We start from the raw sequence: 25,625 nt of genomic DNA, 5'->3' as shown, positions 1-25,625 counted from the left end.
AATTTCAATAGTCTCCTAAAACCTCCCCATCTCCCGGCCAGGTGCGGTGGCTCACGCCTGTAATCCCAGCACTTTGGGAGGCTGAGGAGGGCGGATCGCGAGGTCAGGAGATCGTAGACCATCCTGGCTAAGACGGTGAAACCCCGTCTCTACTGAAAATACACAAAAAATTAACCGGGCGTGGTGACAGGCACCTGTAGTCCCAGCTACTCAGGAGGCTGAGGCAGGAGAGTGGCGTGAACCGGGGAGGCGGAGCTTGCAGTGAGCCCAGATCATGCCACAGCACTCTAGCCTAGGTGACAGAGCAAGACTCTGTCTCAAAAAATACAAACAACAACAACAAAAAAAAAACCCTCCCAAACCTGCCTCTCTCCAACCTATTCTCCATACCAAGAGTCAGAAAAATCTTTCTAAATCTGCTCAATTCACTTGTTCACTCTCTTCCTTAAAGCCCTGCAGTGGCTCCCACTGTTTTCAAGATAAAATCCAAACTATTCCACAAAGACCGATGAGGCCCTTTATTACCTGGTTTCTGCTAATCTCTGCAGCCTGATCTCCTGCTTCCCATCTCCCATTATATTTCAGTCATACTGATTGCTTGTATTTTACTTCATCTGGCTAATTCTTATTCATTCTGCTTTTCACTGATACTGGTCACCCTTACTATTTGATTGACAGTTTACCAGTGTGTCTTCCCAATTAGGCTATGAGCTCCTTTAAGACAGATGCTTAAATTTAAGGGTGCCAATGAGCATACCCCTCTTCCTTCAAGGTCAGAATCAACTGAGACAAACATCAGATGGTAATGACAACATTAAATTTATTTATGGTAAGACATATGGGGGAAAAATGCTTAGTCCTTGCTGTGTAATTACCCTCCACAATGGAAACTACCTCCTAGTTCAGCTCCTACACCCACTCACGCCACCACACACAGCAAGGAAGGAGGCAGGACAGGACTTTTACTGAATGGAGAAAATAGGAATGGAGCGCACACAGCTAAGATCCTAAACAGAAGCAAGAAGGGGCTAAGCTACATAGGAAAGGTTTCTTTCTCCAGTGTTAGCAGTTGGGTAAGTCAATGCCTCCTCCTGGGAGAAGAAACAGCAATGGTATTGGAAAGAAGGATGGACTTTTTTTTCCTATGAATAGAAGGAGAAATTGATTCCCTTCTACAGCAGCCATTATGTCCATTGTCGTGTGCATGGAGAACTGCCTCGGGGGACACATAAAAGAAGCCCCCAGAAGTTTCTTTGGATGAATAGAAGGAGCGAATTGCTAAAGGAGTTTGCACAAGAAGGAAAGAAATTAATATTCTCCTTCCCAGGACATGGTGGTCCTTTCTCTAAATGGAGAGGATGCAGTAGACTTGCTAATAAGTAATGCAACTGATGCTTCTGAAGATGTTGTTCCCACTAGTTAGTCGAAGTGGGGAGAACCCGCCTTGTACTGTACTTTGAGTTCAGTAGCCAGGGAAACGCAAAGGCCGTATTCATTCAGCCCTGGCAACATCAACCTTGGGGAGCTGCGGCAGCTCTTGGAACCAACATCCAATGCAATCAAGAGAAAGCTGACTTTGCAGCACCCACTGGTTGGCTATTCAGTATGACTGCATGACAGTGGTTCTGCCACTTTCTCCCTGTTTCAAAGAAGGCATAACATTAACTAAACCCTTAATATAATCATTTGGGGCTGTAAATTATATGGTTATTCTTAAAGAAATGTTTCATGTTTCTGTTCATAAATCATTTTTCTGGCTTAGAATTGAAGCTGCCATATAACTAAAACTATTTCTCCCCAGATGGAAAAAAAAATCTTTGAATTTTAACAAAAGGGAACCTGCCTAATTGTCTGGTGGTAAAAATAATAGTAAAAATTCTGTGCAGACTTCCCCTCCCCCTTTCTCTGTGTTGTTTGTCATAGAAGAAAAAAAAGCTTGACCTAGTATTCAACATCCCACCCACAAAATGAAATAGACTTTATCATACATCTCACAAGGCTTCACATACAGGATTGATTCCTACTAAACTCTCCTTTTTTTCTTCATTCCTTCTGTCCTTCTAACCTTTCCTCCCTTGCTTCCCTACTTCCTTTTCTTCTGTCCATCTGACAATATGTTTTGAAGCCCTACTATGAGCCAGCCACAGTGCAGAACCCAGTGATTTCACAGAAAATATTCCCTGACCTCATAAAAGTTCAGCTTAGAGCCCAGAGATTCAACTTTTCTGCAAAGTCATCAATACCTCACTGTTCTCTCTTTCCTTAAAAGGGAAGAGAAATTTGCAGAACAATTCCTCTTCTGTGGGATCCCAACATACCTACATTACTCAACTAGGATCCTTTTGTAAAGTTTTGTAAAGTCTTTGGTGAAGACCGTGTATAACCTTAATAAAAACTCTAAAGTTAGATATTGTCGTCCTCATTCTATGATGAGGAAAACTAATGTCTCTAGTTCAAATTGCACAATTGGTAAATTTAAGATCTAAGAATTTTGATCTAGATTTGTGCAAATCTAAGTCCCTTTCTGGTTCCAACAGCCAATTGTGCCTCTTCTAAGTATAACTCTAAGACTGAATGGCCAGGCGCGGTGGCTCACGCCTGTAATTCCAGCACTTTGGGAGGCTGAGGTGGGTGGATCATGACGTCAGGAGATCAAGACTATCCTGGCTAACACGGTGAAACCCCGTCTCTACTAAAAAAAAAAAAAATACAAAAAATTAGCCGGGCTTGGTGACGGGTGCCTGTATTCCCAGCTAATCTGGAGGCTGAGGCAGGAGAATGGCGTGAACCTGGGAGGCGGAGCTTGCAGTGAGCCTAGATCGCACCACTGCACTCCAGCCTGGATGACAGAGCGAGACTCCATCTCAAAAAAAAAAAAAAAAAAAAAAAAAAAAAAGATGGAATGAAGGGATAATGGGAGGGAGAAAATATGTATTTTTGGAGGCTCTAAGATGTAAACTTTAGAAAATGTACAAGCAGAGTTTCCCTTGATCCAAGGAACTAGACTCTTAGAAAGAGTATGAAAAGAATTCCTGCAGATTCTTCATGTCCACCTTCAAGCCCATCAAATGGATGTGTCATTTGAAGTCAGAATACAAGCCAGAGGGCCCATCTGGAGTCACCTAGAGAGTGACTCTTTAGTTTTGAAGTTGTAAGAGGGGCTGAACTCACTCAAGGAATGAGGACTAAAGAAAAAGAAGAGAGCCAGGCTTTAGTCAATAACACTGCTGCGAAGAGGCGAAGAGGCCGCATGGTCACATGTGTCTGTTCTTTCTATTTGATTCAACCTCCTCCTGGCTTCTGATGTGTGGAAAAGAGCCTACAGGCATGTCCAGCAATGGCTGGCAGAGGGATGTGGGATGGGTGTTTACTCTCAAAATTTCCCTGAGTGGGGTAGGAGACAAAGTACTTCCCTGTATGTCTCAGGACCCTGATGCTACTGGGAGAAGAGGGGAATGGTGGTCTGGCCTTGGCAGCCAAACAATGATGCAGCACTGGGGCAGAGGAGTGCTGCTGGGGTTGCTGAAAGCAGCTGAACACAGCAGAAGCGCCAAAGAACAGAGATCTGCCTCTCCTGCCCTTGGAAAGGGTGAAGCTGCTGTACCAGCACGTGTATCTGCATTCTACCATGTACCCACACAGCCCTGTGCTCCAACACACGTGCCCGAGTGTGTGCATGTGAGCACCTCCCCTCACACGCCTACCTGGGCTCTCAGAGAACTGACAGCAAAGCCTATTGACTTGGTTCTTAAAATATATACCAAATCGGCCAGGAGCGGTGGCTCACGCCTGTAATCCCAGCACTTTGGGAGGCCGAGGCAGGCAGATCACACGTCAAGAGATCGAGACCATCCTGGCCAACATGGTGAAACCCTGCCTCTACTAAAAATACAAAAATTAGATGGGCGTGGTGGTGCATGCCTGTAGTCCCAGCTACTTGGGAGGCCGAGGCAGGAGAATGGCTTGAACCCAGGAGGCGGAGGCTGCAGTGAGCCAAGATCACACCAGTGCCCTCCAGCCTGGTGACAGAGTGAGACTGTCTCAAAAAAAAAATAATATATATATATATATATATATATATATATATATACATATATACATATATACATATATACATATATACCAAATCCAGCAGACATCATCTCCCCCTCTGGCATCCAGTCTAGGTCCCCATCATTTCAGTCCTGGACCCCTGAAACAGCCTGCTCACTCAGCTCCCTGCTTCCACGCCTGCCCCCGTAGTCTATTGTCAACACCATAGCCAGAGGGATCCTTTTAAAATGGAAATCAGATCATGCCTCCCCTCAGCTTTCATCCTTCAGAGGCTCCCATCATGTCACTGCCCAAAGGTCCAATGCCTGGTCTTTGATTTCCTTTCCAGTCCTCTCTGTGCCCTCCCATCATCTCACTTCTCTCCAGCCACTCTGAGTCTTCATGCTATTCCTTGGAAGGCCAAACACACCCTCACTCAGGACCTCCAAACTTGCTCTCCTTCCTGCTGAAAAGCTCTTCCCTTGAGTACTTAGAAGGCTTGCTCTCTCTCTTCCTCCTGATCTTTCTTAAATGACACCTCCTCAGACTGGCCTTTCTCTTTCCTCCATTTAAACTAATCATTTTTTGCCTTTTATCTGCCTTATTTTTCTTAAAAGCAGTTTTCAGCTCCAGATACATATTAGGTGACACATCTACTTGTTTATTGTCTGTTCATCCCTGCCTCCTCACCAGAATGTAAGCCTCAGGAAGGCAGGTTCTTGATTGTTTTTCCCCTGCTGAATTCCTAATGTCCACAAGAGTCCTGACAGGTGTTTTATAAATACTTTGTGAATGAATGTTTGAGGGAATGAATGAGTGAGTGAGTGAGTGAATAAATGAGTGAGTGAATGAAAGAGTTGGTGAGTGATGAATGAGTAAATAAATAAGTGAGTGAATGAATGAGTGAATAAATAAGTGAATGAGTGAGTGAATGGATGACTGAATAAATAAGTGAATACGTGAGTAGGTGTGTGAGTGAATGAATGAGTGAATGAGTGAGTAGGTGAGTGAATGAGTGAATGTGTAAGTGAGTGAGTGAATACGCAGATGAATAAGTGAGTGAATGAATGAGTGAATGAGTGAGTAGGTGAGTGAATGAATGAGTGAATAAATAAGCAAATGAATGAACAGGTGAGTGAGTGAGTGGTGAGTGAGTGAGTGAGTATCCTTCTGCATCATCCTTCACACCGTACACTGACTCAGGGGAACAGGACAATGGCGGATGCTGTTCTGGCGTCAGACCCCAGGGAAGTGCAAGACTGCTCCACATCAGGCTGTGTGCACTCCTTCCTCCAACCCAAAACAAACAAAAACACCAACTTTGCTCTCTCTTCACTTCTCTCCACCTCTGGGATGCAGGAGCCCCTCCTCTCCCAGTCACCCCAGACAGCAAGGAAGAAACTTGATATAAGGGTATGGTGCTGAAATACTGACCTGGGAAGCTGGGTGGGATCTCAGGTAGACACACAGAGCTGCAAGGGCTGCGATGAGGCCATCTTGGGAATGCCCAGACTCAGAGGTCGGAGAGCAGAGTTGGCTGGATATCTGCCCATAGGCCAAACTCAGATTACAGTTGTATTTTGTTTGTCATGCCCAGCATTTTTGAAGATTTTTAATTAGTCATCAACATTTATAAAGCAGATTTCCCTGAAAATCTAGATTTCCAGCTTTTGTGGAAAACTCAGAAGATGGGTCATATCTGGGCAGTCAACACTGGCAATGAACTGGAGGAAAGTAGACTTTGGCCCCCTGCAGGCTAGTTACAGTTCCCACCCAGGCCTTTTGCCCATTTGGGTGACCTGTGGGAACCCTGCTTGTACTTTAGCTGAACTTGAGAGCCCTTTAGTCTCAACTACAGGGAGTGGGCTTATTCCTTGTGAGGAGAATGCTAGTCATAAGTTATTAGTGGTGGTTAAAATGTCAATATTTGCAAGTAATTTACTTTTAAGCTGAATCAAAGCCGCACCAAAGTCATCCTTAGAATCATCCTACTCTTGGTCAATTGTATTCCAACATGTTTTCTGGAGAAAGAAAGGAAGGGGGCTGTTAAAGGGAGGATCCATCCATGGGCATCCATGTTATGGCAAGAGCAGGGTTGAGACCTGGAGGGATAGATAGAACTGCAGCTGCTCTTCTCCCTTAGAGGGGAGAAAAATATTCCAGGAGTTCAAGAGACAAAACCTGGAGGGCAGGCCCAGTTCGTCTCCCTTGAGAGCACAGGAAAGAAGCAAGGCCAATCCCACTATATGATTCCAGCCCTGCAGCCTCGAGGGCTGGGTGAAGTAGCATGCTCCATCTCAGCACAGGGTCAAGTCTGCTCTTAGGTGAGCCTGGTCTGCCTGGAAGATGTGCAGCTCAGGTGAGGTTAAGAAAGAAACAGTGTGGACACCTGAGAAAGCAAAGTTGTGAGTGTCTACAAGTTGAAGTCTACGGCAGACAAAGGTAGGGCAAAGACCTCTGTCTGGTTGTTAGCATGCAGTCAAGTCCCCAGCCTGCCCAACCCATTCTGTTCATCCCTGTCTCTGTCCCAGGCCAGAGCTCTTTGAGAGAAAGAGCAGAGTTCTGCATCTCTCTACCTCCATCTGTATTCCAGTCCTGTGAACATGCCTGGCTTCTGATGAGCATCATATAAATGTAAACCTACTGTTCCCAGGTTCTTTTCCTGTGACTTTAACTCACTAAATTTAAGATAACTAAACTGCTGGTGTAATTGCTTCCAATTCCTCTTCTCCGCTTCTCTCTTTCCTTTTTTTTTTTTTTTGTGAGATGGAGTTTCACTCTTTGCCCTGGCTGGAGTGCAGTGGCATGATCTTGACTCACTGCAACCTCCACCTCTCGAGTTCAAGCGATTCTCCTGCCTCAGCCTCCCAAGTAGCTGAGATTACAGGCACACACCACCACGCTCGGCTAATTTTTGTATTTTTAGTAGAGATGGGGTTTCACCATGTTGGCTAGGCTGGTCTTGAACTCCTGACCTTGTGATCCACCCACCTCGGCCTCCCAATCCCCTTCTCTCTTAAACCTGCTCCAATTTGTTTTTTGCTTCAATCACTCCATCAAAGTGACTTTGTCCAGGCTATTGCTAAATCCAAAAAGGAGCGGAGACAGTAGGCAGTAGCTGGTGAGGAAGTGGGGCCAATAGAAAGTTTTGCTCTGTAAGATGGAACAAGTAACAGTGTGTTACTGGAGAGGGAGAGAAACTGACACTGTAAAAGACAGCAGGGAGAATCGCCAGTGTGATGTCACAGAGTAGAGGAGAACGGATAGAATGAAAGTATAAAAACAAGATTGGCTTACTATGGGAACACAGACAGTTCATCTAGAAAAATGGTCCAGAAGGTAAAGCATACGGTGCAGATGCCGTAAGTGGATGGATTTGGTGGTGGGAATTTGAGGAAGCCCTCTTCAGATTGCTTCATTTTCCCAGTGATACAGGAAGTAAGTCATCAGCCAATAGTGCGGGTATGTGAGGAAGCCTAGGGGATTTCTGAGGTGAGAGGAGAAGATATCAACCAGTTATTTGAGAGAGGAGAATGGATGAACTAGGAAATATATTACTGCTCCCAACATTATGTTTGTAGTCATGAGTCAACAAAAGAATCATCTTAGGTTTATTTTTTTTTTGTTTTCAAGCCTTATTCAGCTGCATGGGTGCAGGCATGGAGCAGGGAGAATAAAACAGTGTGAGACATGCAAGGAAGTTGAAGGCACATACAAGGATATAAAAATAATAGTCAGCCATGGACTTTAAACTGCATGAGGAGGGAAGCCATAACATCACGATGCAGTGGGCAGGGGAATGATCAGATCAGTGGATGGACTGTCCCTGCGAGATTGGAAAATTGTTAGAGTTAGTTATTAGACGCAATGAGTTAAAACATAGGAGGTAGTGGTCAAAAAGAGTTGCATAAAATAGACATTATGACAAGTTGTAATCATTGATCATGAAGAGTTCTAGGATAAGACCACAGGAGTGAATGGCCAAGCTAGGGTAGAATATAACTTCAAGGGAGGAGAGGAATTCAAGAACAGAGAAAATTATCTAACGGTTTGTGAAATCTTCAAGAATTAAGATGAGAGTGGTGTTGGAGACAGTGAGATGGCCTTCAAGGATGCAAAACTGTCAAGAAGTGTGAGACCTGAGTGCTTGGTCAAGAGAAGTAGTACTGGAGGATAGGGTCTGACATAGCCTGATAACATGAGAGTTCAATGGGGATTTGAATGAAGGTGGGAGAAAGCCTGGTCTGAAAGAAGAAATGACAAACCAGGAGACTCTGAGGTATAAGGAAAAGGGATGGGAGAGAAGCAAGCCATCACTTAGAGAGTGGCAGAGAAAACTTCCCTCAATGAAAGCCAGGTCCCCGTTACAGCAAGAAGAAAAAAGGTCCATCCAGAGGAAAGGTTGAAGACACAGAATTTGGCTAATGATGGACCAGGAATTCCTGATGTCACCATGGATGGTTTCCATGAGATGAGGATAGATAGGAAATGCATGAGAATATGGAGTGCATTTGGGGAGTTAATGGGCTAAGAAACATGGTAACCTAGGAATCTGGAGCCTTGTGTGTAGTGGAATTGAACAGAGATACAGGGGAAAATGAGATTTGTTATGAAGGACTCAGGGCAATTAGTAGTAGGGCTGAAAGCATTGAAGCGCAGAGAAGGGTGTGTGTCTAGAACTGACTCTGGACTCTGTCGTTGGAGGTGAGGAGGCTGGAGAAGCTCAGTCTCATTCCAAACTCCAGAGACTCCTTCCTGATCCTTATCAAGGCTGGATAGGTTTTCTGGGAGCTGAGGTCTTAGGCCCACTGCTCGGGGTTCACTCTTGGCTCCTCTGGAGGGAAGGGCAGCCTTGCCACGATTTCCTCATATGAAAAAAATGAGTCATAGTTACAACTATCTCTTAAGTAAAAATTATAGCATACCTCATGGAAGAATAAGTTCAAAAATGAATGTAAAAACTTGGCACATTAGTAAGACTGCAATCTTTCCCTTTCCTCAACCACAACTCCATTTAAAAAAATAGACTATTAACTGATGGAAGAGTTATGTTTAGTGAGAAAAAATGCAGAAATGAGTGGATCACATGCAAAATGCCTACTTGTCCTAGGTACACTTGGGAAGGTCTAACAGCTGGGCCTCCATCAATAGGCTACTATTCTGCAAGTGGAAACTAATGCAAGTGCCCAGGAGGAATTAATTAGTCTCTCTAGGACTGGTCTAGGAACCCACACTTTTTATGTGACATAGATTCCAACTGGTGGCTCACTAAATCTTGTTGATTGATTGGGAAGGCTGGGAGGGCTGGAGCCCAGCTGACAGCTCTATATCGATCGTGGCTTTTAGCCAAGTTATTAAGTGGTTGGAGTAAGGGGTTGTATGGCAGAGTCCCACATTCCCTCTCCGCCCTCCCCTTCCCCGACATTTCAGCTGAAATCACAGTATTTCCCAAAAGGATATTAGCTCCCACGGACAAAAGGGCTGAATGCATTAAGCAAGACAGGCTTTATTGCACACATCAAATTTTCATGTGCTGTGTGGGGTGCCTGGGCTGTGCTCAGAACAGCTTACCCCTCACTTAGAAACCTGAGAGGAGTGCAGGAGCCTGTGTGGCTTAGACATTTGGGGAAAGAGCAAAGAAGTCACCTTCAGAAAGGACTCAGTGGATGTTTGGCCTTCTGTAGCAGGGAAACTAGAGTGTGCAAAATTCTTCAGCAGTTGCAGGAATTCCCTCTTTCTGAGTCAGGAGGAAAGAAATTAACCTATGGAATGTTTCCCCTCAGCAGATGCAGCTTCCATCTGCTTAGCATTGAGAAAATCAGTAAATCTATTAAGAAATAAATAAATGAAATGGCCAGTATTATTGAGTGTGAACTAAGGGTTAAGACTGATTTGGGCAGGTTCACATAGAGTCTCTCAGCTTTGGTCTCTGCATTAGTCTATAATACTAAAACAAGCTCATGTTTTTCCTCCTGTAAAACTCTCTAAGCTCATTATCTTGTCCCATGAGATGGTTCTAGTTCATCTGGATATAAGAGGACATATTCAGATCTTCTCCCATAATAACAGTGAGTCCAATCTCGAGATTTGTAGAGTTATTAATGCATCTTCCCCACTGAATCTCCTCTTGGGGAGTAAGAATTATGCTGCAGGAAGATTCCTCTTCTACCAAGTGTAAGTATGAGGGAGAATGATGAAAATGGTACACACAGGAGACTTAGGTGGGACCCATCCCATATGGGAGAGGGAGCAAAGAGCACAAGCACAAAGAAGAAGCCTTCTCTGAGCCCCTGCCTCTTTCCTCCAGGTGAGCCCCTGCCTCTTACCTCTTGACCTTCAAATGTAGGATGGTCACTTGCAGATAAGTCCTAACTCCAACCTTTATCATGCTGAGTCCAGCCCTTGAGGACCCCTTCACAAGCACAGAGGTTCAAATGGAAGGAAAACTGGAAAATCCACAGAATCAATAAGAGATATATGCTTTGGATTAGAGCCAAAGGTGAAACTTGATGATAAACCCTTGGATGTTTCACGTGAGCAATCTGCCTTTTTGCTGCCTTTCCCCAGTTATTTAGCATCCCACAAGGTTCCAAGAGTCAAGGGTGTTGGGGGCAAAAATCTAGAATGGCTGAGCAAATGTTAACAAAAGATTTGAGGTGGGGATAATGGGCAGCAAAAGCCATTAGGACAAAGCCAGGTGCAGTGGCTCGCTCTTGTAATCCCAGCACTTTGGGAGGTCGAGGCAAGCGGATCACTTGAGGTCAGGAGTTCAAGACCAGCCTGGCCAACATGGTGAAACCCCATCTCTACTAAAAACACAAAAAGTGGCTGGGCGTGGTGGTGGGCACCTGTAATCTCAGCTACTCAGAAGGCTGAAGCAGCAGAATCACTTGAACCCAGGGGGCGGAGGTTGCAGTGAGCCAAGATCACACCATTGCACTCCAGCCTGGGAGACAGAGCAAGATTCCATCTCAAAAAAACAAACAAAAAAGCCATTAGGACAGATAATGCTGAGCAATGGATGGCCATTGTTGAGTGAATGCCCACCCAGCTTTCTTTCATCACAGGTGGTGTAATTTCAGTGGTAACTGTGAACATTTTGTTTATTCGTACTGTTCCAACATGGTTAGGTCTGGGCAAACCTACTCCCAAAGTCCAAGGAAGCTGAAAGACCAAAGAAAGAGGTTGACAAATCCAGTCTCTCAGGAACATTTAATAGGGACTTACAAACAGAAACCATGACTGTGTCTCAGGAAGCGGCAAGGTAAGATGGTAGATCCTTGTGCCGTTACCCCCCAGAGCCAGGGCTTATATACCATAAAGAAAGGGTGATTCAGAAGGGATATGTAGAACACTTGAAGTACTATAATCTCAAGGTTGTTGGACCTAAGGTCAGGATTTATGATAAGTACTTGCTGTTACACAAGGAACAATGGATAAACTAGAAATCTTACAGACATTCTCAGAACAGGGGTTAATCAGAAGCCAACATGGCTGATTGGCACCCAAGTTGTTCTGACCTACACACTCCATCCACAATCTGGTTCTTAGAATCTCACATTCCCCGCTCTTCCACGATGTTCCCTCAGCCTTTAGGGAGGATGCTTGATGTGGTATAGCTTTAGCAGCTGTGCTTTGCCAATGAAAAACAGATCAGGCCCAGTGGGATTCCAAATCAGGGAGATTCACAGGCTGTTTAATCAGCTCTAGTCTTCAGAATACGGTGACTTTGTTTTTCTCAGAAGTAAAACAATGAGATACATAACATTAGTAATTTAAATTGTAATGTCGACAAAAAGAGTAAAACTCTGTAAAATATTTTAAGAGATTTATTCTCAGCCAACTAATGAGTGACCATGGCCTGTGACACAGCCCTCAGGAGATCCTAAGAACATGTGTCCAAGGTGGTGGGGGTAAAACTTGGTTTTATATATTTTAGGGAGACATGAGACATCAATCAAATACATTTAAGAAATATATGGGTTTGGTTTTAGGAAGGTGGGACAACTCAGAGCAGGGGGGCTTCCAGGCTACAGGTAAATTTAAACATTTTCTGTTTGACAATTGGTTGAGTTTTTCTGAAGACCTAGGATTAATGGAAAGGAATGTTCAGGTTATGATAAAGGACTGTGGAGACCAGGTTTTATTATGCAGAGGAATCCTCAGATAGCCGACTTCAGAGAGAGAGCAGGTTGTAAAATATTTCTTATTAGACCTAAAAGGGTGCCTGGCTCTTAGTTATTATCTCCTGGATCTACAAAGGAAGAAAAGAAAACAAAGGGGAAAGGAGATTCTCTATAGAATGTGGATTGTTCTCACAAAAGACTTTGCAGGGCAAAGGTATGGCAAGGAAATGTAGTTTGGGGTTAAATATTTTTTCCTTGTCTCATAATGTTGTGCCAGGGTGAGATTGAAAAGTAAGTCATGGCTGAGCATGGTGGCTCACACCTGTAATCCCAGCACTTTGGGAGGCCAAGACGGGCAGATCACTTGAGGTCAGGAGTTTGAGACCAGCCTGGCCAACATGGTAAAACCCCGTCTGCACTAAAAACACAAATATTAGCCAGGTGTGGTGGCAGATGCCTGTAATCCCAGCTATTCAGGAGGCTGAGGCAGGAGAATCGGTTGAACCCTGGAGGTGGAGGTTGCAGTGAGCCCAGATCACACCACTGCACTCCAGCCTGGGTGACAACAGTGAGACTCTCTCCAAAAAAAAAAAAAAAAAGAAAGAAAAGAAAAGTAAGTCACTATATATAGGGTCAAATAAAACCCATCTGATGAGAATTTATGTTTTGTAGGGCATGACTCCCTAGACCCCTTAGGTAGAAATTTGTGTTAGATAAAAATCAGAGCTTAGTCCTCAGTAGAAATATAATGCACACAGGATTACAATGAAAAGAGAATCTGTAAGCCAGAACAACAAAAAAAGAAGCCATTCCATTAAGAAGGCAACTAAAAGCATTGTGAAAAAAAAGTAAACCTGGTTCTTCTTTAGAGACTTGTTGCAGCCAGAAAACAATTCAGGATCAGCCCAAACTGTAGGCAAATAATAAAAACTTCAAAACAATGGCCAGGGCCAGAATCTAAATTTTTCTCTCTCCAGTCTCCCCATTTCTGCCAAGGATAAATCATAGTAGGACAGATTTATTTGCAAAATAAATTTTAGTTTTATTCTACTTTGCCTGATTATTTGCATAAAGTGTCACAAAAATAGTGATCAGTCATGGGCTCCTTTTAAGTTGGCTTTTCTGAAACTTTTATAAGAAATTTTGGATTCCCTCAAGGCCAGAAGCCAAGCCAAACACTCACCATTAGACTGTGCTTATAATACCTGTATGAATTCCTCTCTTCCCAAAGTCCCAAAATATTCCTCTCTTCCCAAAGTCCCCCATCAGAATGTTTTTCATAAAAACATTTAGGTGAAGAAGACACAAGTACTTTACATAAAGCCTGTTTAAATATTCTAACCTTCATAAACGTATTAACCTTTCCATTTTATTTTCTAGTCCCAGAAACTTTTCTTCTCCAAGACCAACTTTCTTCAAGACCATTTAACCCTGTCTTGAGAAAAAGGCTTTGCGTTTCCAGCAGGTAGTTGAGCCAAGGGATCCAGGCCCTTTCTCCCTCTTTATGTTGATTAACCTGCCTCAGTATTGCTCCAGCAATAGTTGGCCGACGTTTTCTTTGGAATTTTCGCCTTCTGATTTTTTTCCCTCCACTCTGGAGTAAATATAGAAAACCAGTTTGAGGCCCTTTAGTATCGGGGAACTAGCAGGGGCTAACTTTGGTCCACTCAACCTTCTGTAGCCTTGTATTAAGACCGTTGTTTTAACCCATTAATTTTCATTTTACTCACTGCATTTCTTAATAATTATTTTCAAAATTTCCATTGACTCTCTCCTTTCCTTTTTCCTTTGAGTTTCACTCCATCAGTGTTTTGGACATTGAAGTTAGCAAATGGGAAATTGAGACAGCAAATTTAGGTAAGGCTTCCTGGACTGTCTTTTGGTTTTGCGGCTGTAATGAGGTGCCGAAGCAAAAGGGGTCCCCTTAACCACAGCATTTACCATGACCTGGAGAATGGGCACATTCAGTGGGTGAATATCCCTGTCATTATAAATTAGCCAGTCCTACATGGCTTGGATACAAAACTCACCAGCTGCCTTACCTGGGGTATCCACTTGGCATTTGTGGGTGGAGTTGAGCAGTCTGCCTTCTCAGGGTAAACAGACCTTACAGGACTTTTATCCAGCCCATCAGGCTGGCTGTTCCCTCGGGAATACCCACCTGTGTGTCTAAATCACATATCTGCGATTATTCAATAGTGAGCTGTGGGGCCTGAATCAACCCAAACGTTTTTTTAGTCTGCAGCATTTAAAAGCAAAGACACACATCTCAAACATGTTATTCTCACTACCCACTTTAGTAATGGTTCCACTGTGAGCTGATGATACCAATCTACTAAATGGAACAATTCCTTCACACTATCCCCTCTGGTTTCCATAGTTACTTGGTTTTGCCCTCCCCTGTGTTGACTACCTTCTTGGTACTCACAGATCTCTTGCCTTGGGCATAACTTTCCCCCTTTGTGGGTAGCTTTGAGGCTAGTGACATGAGCTCAGACAGACCCACATCAGCCTCAAGGCCCAACCCAGCACTCTTTTACTTTCATGTTAGCTACTATAGATAACGATAACCAAGGGTTTAAATATTTCACTTTTTCCTTGTTGGTTTGCATTTCCTTATGTATCCAGTGAACCAACTCCCCAGGAGTTGAATTCATCTTTAAATTTCACTGCTAATGTTTTCTTTAGTAACTGAGCACAGCACACCTGGAGTTCCATACCATGGATGGCCATATGGCCACCCGGGAATCAAAGATTCTGCATTTTCCACCATTTTGTCCTTTCTCCTTCTATTGACTATGATGAATAGTGTTTTTGTCAACATCCATGTACGAGTTTTTTTTTAAATATCTGTTTTAAATTATTTGGGGTGTATACTTACAAGTGAAATTGCTAGGTAGCTCTATGTTTAACTGGGGTAATATATTTAATAATATTTCACTGTGTATTTTGGTGATTGAATGAGATAGTGCATGTAAACTCACTTTGAACGCTAAAGAAATCTGTGAGACAAAATATTTTCTAAAACAACCCTGTGCGTTATTGCTTCCCAAAGACACTCAGTGGCTAAAAGCAGAGCCACTTTTCTCAGGGATATTCTTCTGTTTAAAAATGTGGGTTATCCAAATAGTAGGGATGAACATTCTTCCATGGGACTCAATAAAAGTTTTCATTTGCATTTGCATTATTAAAAAGGTGAGCCTCTTGAGCTAAACTATGGGTTGGCAAAGGCATACAGAGTGAGTGGAATAATGGACTTTGGAGACTTGGAAGGCAGGTAAGGAATAAAAAACTACATATTGGGTACAATGTACACTACTCAAGTGGCCGGCAGACTAAATCTTAGACTTCACCAGTGTACAGTTCATTCAGGTACCACTTGTACCCCAAAAGCTATTGAAATTTTAAATATATATATATATATATATTTTTTTTTTTTTTTTTTTTTTTTTTTGAGACAGAGTTTTGCTCTTGTTGCCTAGGCTGGAGTGTAGTGGCACGAGCTCGGCTCACTGCAACCTCTGCCTTCCAGTTTCAAGCAATTCTCCTACCTCAGCCTCCCGAGTAGCTGGGATTACGGGCACCTGCCACCACACCCAGCTACTTTTTGTATTTTTAGTAGAGACGGGGTTTCACCATGTTGGGCAGACTGGTCTCGAATTCCTGACCTCGTGATCTGCCCCCCAACCGCCTGGCCTCCCAAAGTGCTGGGATTATAGGTGTGAGCCACTGCACCTGGCCTTAAAAATATATTTTTTTAAAAAAGTGATCCTGGTTTAGGCTAGTGCAAACCAAGTTGCTCATTATTAGAAATTGAAGAAAAGCTAGAATTTGAACTGAGATCTGTCTGGCCCCAAACTCCATCTGTTTTCTTGTCATTAATTCTTGAAGGAGCTTACACACTTAAGATACATAGAAGTAGAAAGAGTTTCTAAACAATAAAAGAATTTTCCATTTGTGTAGTTCTGTTTAGATTATAAAGCACTTCCACATAATTCTTATGAACACAAGTGTCTCCTCAAATCAGCATTATCTCTGGATTTTTTGATTCATTCAAAATAGTGCTTGACAAATGTTTGTTTCATTCATTCAAAGAATATTTATCAAGGTCCCCCAAGGTTGCAGGCATTGTGTCATGCCTGGCGAATACAGAGACAAAGGAAATACCCTTTTCCTTCAAGTAGTTCAGTCTAGGGGAGAAACCGGCCCACAGAAAAACAGTCTGATCAATGTTTTGCCCAGTTTGCTAGAGAGACAGAGTAGAGGGAGGCCAGTTCAGGCTAGAGGTGAGTCTCAAAGAATGAGAATGAATAAATGAATGCGTGCATGAATACATGGCTCAAAATGCTTTACCATTAAGATAAAGCTCCACCTTCTTAACAAAAAGAACCACAATAGGCCCCTTCATTATCTGAATACCAGCGAATGCTTCAATTCAATATGAATCACCAGTATATTGAGCACCTACCACACGCCAGGCAATACACTGGAATCTCCATACCAGGGGACATGGCAGAGTTAGATCAGAAGTCAACAACTTCATCTAGAAAGGGCCAGATAGTAAATATTTTGGGCTTCGTTAGCCACACTGTTTCCGCAGCAGCAGTGGTGGTTTCTGCACCACTCTGCCATTGTAGGGCAAAAGCAGTCACAGACAATATGTAATCAAAAGGGCATGACCTTGCTCTGATACACCTTTATTTACAAAAACTTTTGGCGAGTAGGCAATAGTTAGCCAACCCCCTGAATTAGATAAACAAAGCTCCCAATCTAATGGTGTTGACAATCTACCCATCCTACTTCCCATCAAACTGTAGCTGTCTTTCTACATGTGATGTGTTCCCTCCACCTCCACACTTCCGTCCCTGCTTCTCCATCTGCTTGTAGTGACTTTTCCACCTTTTAACTCTCTGTCCTTCCCCCAAATATCTCTTCAACCCCAATCCCTACACACAGGACACACTTCATTACCTGGTAAAGTCCTGCCGAGTCTTTCAAGGGATGGCTAAGTTGCCTTTTCATGTATTTTGCTAAGTTGTTAAGTCTTCCAAAAAATAATGTAGCAACCTCTTTGGCAATTACATTTTACAAATGCTTTCTTTGGCAAAGGACACGAGAATTTACAATTCTCAAAATTAGACATTTTATGAGTGCTTCACTTCAACTTTTTAAATAACCTACATGGTTATTAAATAGTATCCGCTTTTAAAAGTATTTGGAGTAAAGTTTTTACAGCCATGCTCCATGGCTTAGAACTTTGACGCTTCAATCATTCATTCTTATGTGTTGAAATCAAGTCACATTTATTTATTGAAGAATACATTGGCCCTGAAAAAAGGAAAGACAGGGGAAAAGTCATTCTAAACAATACCAGGAGGTACAATGTGTAGTAGTGGAGTGGGCTTATATTTAGATATATTTTGTCTTAATGAAACTGCCTTTGCAAAGATGATGACAGTAAGAAAGTCTAGCATGGCTGATTCCATTTTGCTTCTAGCCTCACAGGCTGGCCACCCTCATTCATTTCTTGGAGTAGGACAAGCTAACTATGGGATGAATTTCGTTCATAGCTTAACTTTGCCACAAGGGTGATAGTAGCCCCTCCCTAAAACTGACCCCTTTCTTATTCAGGGATTGAAACTTGCCTTTATAAGACTAATGAAAGGCGACACGAATAGGATTATGGGAGGGGCCTGCATTCTGCTAAAATGTAGGCATAGCTTGCCTTTCTATAGTCATTTACTGTGACAGAGATCACAAGATTTGTAACTTCCCCAATTGCTCCTACAGATAACATCACTATTATAGAACCTAAGATTGGTCTTTTGAGATATTTTTTAGACTTCTGCATTCTGGCAACCTACTGACTCCACCAAGACCCATAACTCATGGCTCCCTAGCCAGAGGCTAACTCAGTGCACAAGGACCATTTTCCACAAGACCCGTAACTCATGGCTCCCCAGCCAGAGGCTCAGTGCACGAGGACCATTTTCCACACCCTTATGATTTCTCCCCCAACCAATCAGCAGCACCCATTCCCTAGCCCCTGCCTGCCAAATTGCCCATAAAAACCCTAGCCTCTGAGTTCTCAGGGAGATGATTTGAGTAATAAACTCTCACCTTCTGCCTGAGTAGCCTTGCATTAATTAAACTCTTTCTTTAATGCAATACCACTAACTCAGTGAATTGACTCTATCTGTGCAGTAGGCAAGAAGAACCCACCAGGCAATTACATTAACCTACTCAACTTCTATTTAAAAATTTAATCATTCCCATTGTTCTGTCCTTAATTGGAAAAACAGGACACTTGTACAATAGGTACTTGTTAGAGAGTATACCGTGGAAGGCAATGTTGTTCAAATCTTAATAAAAACCTGATTAATACTAATTGTTCAACATTTAACCATAATTGAACAACTTAATTGTTCAACTCAGATTCCCAGGAAGAATGAGAAAAGGTAGAACCCCACAATTCTTAAATCTAAGATTGATCAATAAACAACTGCCAAAATGGAGAATTGGGGTTCATCTTAATAGTAGATAGAAGTGGACTCAGAAAATCCTTCCTCAGCTTCACATCCTGGTACCCTTTGTCTTCACCCTATGAAAATGCCTGGGAAAAGTTAAAAAGGTATTTCAATTTTTTAAAGAAATCCCCATCATTGGTCTAGTTCAGAGACTCAGGGTCTCTATTAGTCAGTTCTTTCTTATCCCTCAGATTTTACCTAAAACACTTCCTTAAACCCGCAATTGAAAGTAGTCATTTTCTTTTTTCTTTTTTTTTCTTTTTTTTTTTGAGACAGAATTGCACTCTGTCGGGCTGGAGTGCAGTGGTGCAATCTCGGCTCACTGCAACCTCCACCTCCTGGGTTCAAGCAATTCTCCTGCCTCAGCCTCCCACGTAACTGGGATTACAGGCATGTGCCAACACACCTGGCTAGTTTTTGTATTTTTAGTAGAGACAGGGTTGGCCAGGCTGGTCTCAAACTCCTGACCTCAGGTGATCTGCCTGCCTCAGCCTCCCAAAGTGCTAGGATTAAAGGTGTGAGCCACTGCACCCGGCCAAAAGTAGTAATTTTCTAGCATAGGAGTTTATCTATTTTCTACTAAACATTTAATTCAATAAATATGATCTTGTTTAAATGTTTCCTTATTCACAGTCTGCGCTCCTCCATTAGAATGTAAGCCACATGAGAGCAGGCACTGTGTCTCCCTTGGTCACAGCTGCTTCCACAGCAACTAGAGCAGGACATGTAGAAATCACCACTAAATAAATACTTACATAATGTGTGTGTACAAATATGTACACTTAAGAATCTTCGGCTGGGTGCGGTGGCTCACGCCTGTAATCCCAGCACTTTGGGAGGCCAAGGCGGGTGGATCACAAGGTCAGGAAATCAAGACCATCCTAGCTAACACAGTGAAACCCCGTCTCTACTAAAAATACAAAAATTAGCTGGGCATGGCAGCGTGCGCCTTTAGTCCCAGCTCCTGGGGAGGCTGAGGCAGGAGAATGGCGTGAATCTGGGAGGCGGAGCTTGCAGTGAGCCGAGATCGTGCCACTGCACTCCAGCCTACACAAATCTACAATGTCTAGGTGTGGTACCCTGTGCTGTTTATATCCTACAAAACCACACATTGAAGTGCTTTAAAAAAAATCTGAAAGCAACCCATTGTATTGTTACTATTCAGTATCTCCAGGGGTAAAGTAGGAGCTGGAGTGAAGGTGAAGGGTTGCATTTGTATTTGACTTTCTTACATCTTTTCAATGTTTGAATCCTTTATGATGAGACTATTCAGGTAGTACTTGGATTTCAAAAATAAAAAGACAATAAAAAAAGAACCAATAAAAGCAACTAACAAAGACTCTAATCACCAAATATTTTAAAAATCATTCTCTGTCTTATAAACCAGAAAAAAACATTTAGAAAATGGAAGGGGTTGGAAATCCTATTTACAATGACAAAAAGAATGATAAAACAATTAGAAATAAATGTGACAAGAATTGTGAACTTACATTTACCCTATGACACAGCTATTTAGCTTGTAAATATTTACCCAAGGCAAGTGAAAACACATATCCACAAACACACTTGTATAAGTGTTTTATCAGCTTCACTCATGAGAACCCCAAACTGGAAACAACCTAAAAGTCCATCAACTGGGAAATGTATAAAAAATATTATGAAATTGAAAGTATTGTATGATACTACTAAGGAATAAAAAGAACAAACTACTAGTATACAATTACATGGATGAGAAAAGAAGCCAGACACAAAGAAATGCACGGTGCCTGGCCCAGGCACGGTGGCTCACACCTGTAATCTCAGCACCTTGGGAGGCTGAGGCGGGTTGATCATGAGGTCAGGAGATCGAGACCATCCTGGCTAACTTGGTGAAAACCCGTCTCTACTAAAAATACAAAAAAGCTAACTGGGCGTGGTGGCAGTCACCTGTAGTCCCAGCTACTCGGGAGGCTGAGGCAGGAGAATGGCGTGAACCCGGGAGGCGGAGCTTGCAGTGAGCTGAGATTGCGCCACTGCACTCCAGCCTGGGCAACAGAGCCAGACTCTGTCTCAAAAAAAAAAAAAAAAAAAGAAAAGAAAAGAAATGCACAGTGCCTGATGACAATGGACAATTGCATTTATGTGAAGTTTTAGAACTGGTGACACGAATCTCTAGGGTCAGGCAGCAACACGAATCTCTAGGGTTTGGCAGGCCAGGTTTCCATGAGCAGCCAGAACAGACAGTTTCCACTAACCCTTTACTGTAATTCTTATGAGTGTATAAGTTAGACATTAAAGACCTGGAGAAACTGGTACCTGAGTACAAGGCCTGGAATGTAAATCAACCCCATTAAGACCCCACCTGGGGTTTCTCAGACCCTAAAGTCTGATCAAGTAAGAATAGCATTCTTACACATACACTTCGTTGCAGGGCCCATTTAAGATTTAAAAACCTTCCAAGGTTCTAGAGAAAGCTTTCCAAACCCTAGACCCTAGTTAAAGATTAGATATAGATGGAATGAAACACTTCTACTTGTAGGTGCATTTCCACACATAGGCATAAAACTTTAAATGTATATAAGCACTAGAATAAAACCTTCAACTTTGAGTTGGTCTGGTGAGTTACTCTGAACTTCTCCCTGTCGCCAGTTGCAGAAATCAACTCCCTTCTTTCCCAGTCTGTCTGCATCTCATTATTGGACAGTAGGAACTTGCTCTGTCCAGGAACAGGGTGATACAAAGCAGGTGGTGATTGCTTGCAAGGCATGGTGATTGACTGGAATGGGGCACAAGGAACTTGCTGGGGCAAAGAATTGTTCTGTGTCTTGATGGGTGTTGGTTGACTACATGAATGGATACATCTGTTAAAAGCATCAAAGTTTCAGATGTGTGCATTGACTGTTGGTAAATTCAAATGCGATGTTCAGATCTGTGTATTGACTGTTGGTAAATTTTATCTCCATAAAAAATAAAAAGAAAATGTTTAAAAAACTCTTGTCAAGAATTATATAAAAGGTGGGGCAGGAGGGACTTTCCTTGAAGAAATGTCAGATTTCTAGTTGTTTACAAAACATTAAGGAGGCAAACGTTTTTCTGCATGTTTGCACAGTTGGTTTCAATTCTGTCACACGTTAAGACAGTATGAGACTTCTGCATGCTTTTTGTTGTTGTTGTTGTTGTTTTGTTTTGTTTTTGGAACGGAGTTTCGCTCTTATTGCCTAGGCTGTAATACAATGCCATGATCTTGGCTCACCACAACCCCTGCCTCCCAGGTTCAAGCAATTCTCCTGCCTCAGCCTCCTGAGTAGTTGGGATTAAAGGCATGCACCACCATGCCTGGCTATTTTTTTATTTTTAGTAGAGATGAGGTTTCTCCATGTTGGTCAGGCTGGTCTCGAACTCCCGACCTCAGGTGATCCGCCTGCCTCAGCCTCCCAAAGTGCTGGGATTACAGGTGTGAGCCACTGCGCCCAGCTTGAGACTTCTGCATGTTTAATAATCACTCTCCATAATAGCAGGCCCTGGTAACCATCTTACACTCGTTAGCAGAGGCTGCAGAAGCTTATGCAAATCTAGTTCACAGGACATCAACTAATTCCTGAGACACATCCACATCCACTGCTCTCTGATGATGGCAGATGGCATTCTGCAGATAAAAGTGCAAGACTTCAAGAAAGAAACTGTCAAATCTTACATAATCCATCTAGGAATGTGTGGAGTAAATAAATAAATAACAATAACATCAATGGGAGCAAAACTTAAGTAGCTATGCGTTGATTTTACATAAATTTCCCAGCAGCAGAATAGGGAGATTAGAAGGAAGAAGAATATCACTTAGAAGCCAGCGACAATGTCCCTCCATATCTGTGCGTCACAGCCCAGGCTCGCACTGGGGCCGTGCAGGGAATGGCAATAGCTCCTTCCTATTCCCTGATGGCTCAGAAGCGGCTCCGGAAGAGGCTGAAGCAAACACCAGCTGCTCAGACTTCATTTTTCCCTCCTGACTTTATCCTTGTGCTTTGTTCAAACTCTGGAATGGAGATAATAATGGCACCATGGCTCTGTCTGTGAGAAAACCTCACATGGAGGTTAGCCTTACTTTTTTTTTTTTTTTCCTTGGAATGGAGTCTGGCTCTGTTGCCCAGGCGGGAGTGCAATGCTGCGATCTTGGCTCACTGCAACCTCTGCCTCCCAGGTTCAAGCGATTCTCCTGACTCAGCCTTCCAAGTAGCTGGGATTACAGGCGTGCACCACCCGCCTGGCTAATTTTTGTATTTTTAGTGGAGACAGGGTTTCACCATGTTGGCCAGGCTGATCTCGAACTCCTGACCTCAGGTGATCCACCCGTCTCACCCTCCCAAAGTGCTGGGATTACAAGCATGAGCCACCATGCCCGGCCGAGGTTAGCCTTACTTTTCAACTACCATCACAATAAATCATTACCTTTTCCACATGAAACCTACAGTACTAGGGAGCTTGCCCCATGAAAGGGTCAGACCAGAGCATCTGAAAACAGGAGACAAGAGGAGGAGAGACCCCCAAGCAAGAAGCCCAGCCTCCCTGAGGCCTCTTCCCTCTCAGTTCCCCATCCCTCACACCCACCTCATGTCCTGCAGGCAGCTCTGTTATCATTTACTTACTCCAGGAATAACCACACAGTTGTCTAAGTAGCTTGTGCATATAAAATGTGGTCTCTGCTCCCAGGGCCAGCTAAAGGCAATGTGTCAAAGGAATTTCTAAGTATCAAGGCAGATTGAGCACAAATGTATAACTTGACTGCTCCCTGCTCCCCATCCCATTCCTGACTTCCCAAATTGCAACTAAAACTATCAGTGAAATATCAGAATATGGGGAAATTATATGAGAAAGTTGAGAAAGAATGACACCCACATACCATTCATTCAGCAAGTTCCAGGCACTCCCCTGAGTGCTGTGCTGTATACTGTAAACGTTCAGCTATCTCTGCTAAATATAGAGGAGAAAGCATGAGCCTAATGAATAGGACTTTGAAATAGATATTCTCTTCCTGGGATCCTCTAATGAATGGTTTGTTTGAAAACCCACTCATCGACTGTGAGCTCCCTGACAATCTGTGCACATGCATACACACGGCCTCTCATAAATTTTTATCGTCTCACTTTAAAAAGTAAACTGAAAGAGCCAAGAGCAGTGGCACATGACTATTGTCCCAGCTACTCAGGAGGCTCAGGCAGAAGGATCGCTTGAACCCAGGAGTTTGAAGCTATGGCGCACTATGATCATGCCTGTGAAGAGCCATTGCACTCTAGCCTGGGCAATAGAGAGACCCCATTTCCAAAAAAAAATGTAAACCAAAAGAATTGAAATCAGGGACTTGAACTGATCTTTGTACACCCATTTTCATTACAATATTATTCACAATAATCGAAAGGTGGCAGCAACCCATGCCCATCAATGGATGAATGGATAAACAACTTATGGTCCAGACATATGATGGAATATTATTCAGCCTTGTAAAAGAATGAATTTCTGATACTTGCTACAGCATGGGTAATCCTTAAAAACATTTTGCTGAGTGAAATAAGCCAGACACAAAAAGGATAACTATTGGATGATTCCACTTATATGAGGTACTTCAAATAGTTAAATTCTTCGAGAAAGAGGAATCATGTTTACCAGGGGCTGCAGGGAGGGGGGAATGGGGAGTTAGAGTTTAATGGGTACTGAGTTTCAGTTTGAGATGATGAAAAAGTTCTGGAGATGCATGGCAGTGATGATTACACAACAATGTGAATGTACTTATCACCACTGAACTGTCTACTCAAAAATGATTCAAATGATAAATTTTGTATGCTGTATATTTTGCCACAGGAAAGAAAATGGCCAGCAAAGGATAACCAGACACTTGAAATGTCCTCTAATCGACAGAGAGAAAATGAAACTAGTATAAATAAGGGACCTGGGTTATGCAGAAATGACTCCAGGAGCAAAGGAAAGATCTACATCTTTATCTGGATCTGTATCAGCGTCTTTAGTAGAATGAAAGGAGATATTTCACCTGCCTGGACTGTGAATTGCAAAAGGAACAACATTCCACACAAAAGAATTGTCCAAGAACAAGGAAAGAACTTTTAGAAATTAAAGTATTTGAAGTCCTTGCCCATGCTTATGTCCTGAATGGTAATGCCTAGGTTTTCTTCTAGGGTTTTTATGGTTTTAGGTCTAAAGTTTAAGTCTTTAATCCATCTTGAATTAATTTTTGTATAAGGTGTAAGGAAGGGATACAGTTTCAGCTTTCTACATATGGCTAGCCAGTTTTCCCAGCACCATTTATTAAATAGGTAATCCTTTCCCCATTGCTTGTTTTTCTCAAGTTTGTCAAAGATCAGATAGTTGTAGATATGTGGCGTTATTTCTGAGGGCTCTGTTCTGTTCCATTGATCTATATCTCTGTTTTGGTACCAGTACCATGCTGTTTTGGTTACTGTAGGCTTGTAGTATAGTTTGAAGTCAGGTAGCATGATGCTTCCAGCTTTGTTCTTTTGGCTTAGGATTGACTACTTTAAAGTAGTTTTTTCCAGTTCTGTGAAGAGAGTCATTGGTAGCTTGATGGGGATAGCATTGAATCTATAAATTACCTTGGGCAGTATGGCCATTTTCACAATATTGATTCTTCCTACCCATGAGCATGGAATGTTCTTCCATTTGTTTGTATCCTCTTTTATTTCATTGAGCAGTGGTTTGTAGTTCTCCTTGAAGAGATCCTTCACGTCCCTTGTAAGTTGGATTCCTAGGTATTTTATTCTCTTTGAAGCAATTGTGAATGGGAGTTCACTCATGATTTGGCTCTCTGTTTGTCTGTTATTGGTGTATAAGAATGCTTGTGATTTTTGTACATTGATTTTGTATCCTGAGACTTTGCTGAAGTTGCTTATCAGCTTAAGGAGATTTTGGGCTGAGACAATGGGGTTTTCTAGATATA

At 42.7% G+C, this 25,625-nt stretch overlaps 1 long non-coding RNA gene across 1 annotated transcript, besides 1 other annotated feature; it reads left to right on the top strand.

The window, feature by feature from the left end:
* Positions 3,218-3,717: an enhancer, noted in NCBI's record as "H3K4me1 hESC enhancer chr17:10829767-10830266 (GRCh37/hg19 assembly coordinates)". NCBI's record gives its function as "activates a minimal SCP1, AML or CMV promoter by ChIP-STARR-seq in naive H9 embryonic stem cells {active_cell/tissue: H9 hESC(naive)}" and the evidence as "EXISTENCE:reporter gene assay evidence [ECO:0000049][PMID:30033119]".
* LOC105371536 (uncharacterized) lies at positions 10,489-24,600 on the top strand. Its single transcript, XR_002958133.2, has 5 exons — positions 10,489-10,565; positions 11,163-11,296; positions 13,539-13,623; positions 13,952-14,015; positions 24,515-24,600. It is a non-coding gene; the product is annotated as an uncharacterized LOC105371536 (long non-coding RNA).
* Positions 24,601-25,625: the final 1,025 nt, after the last annotated feature.

Source organism: Homo sapiens, chromosome 17 (genome assembly GCF_000001405.40).
Source record: "Homo sapiens chromosome 17, GRCh38.p14 Primary Assembly".
Lineage (NCBI taxonomy): Eukaryota > Metazoa > Chordata > Mammalia > Primates > Hominidae > Homo > Homo sapiens.
The sequence above is the reverse complement of the archived record's forward strand: the minus strand, read 5'-3'. Positions and strand labels throughout refer to the sequence as shown.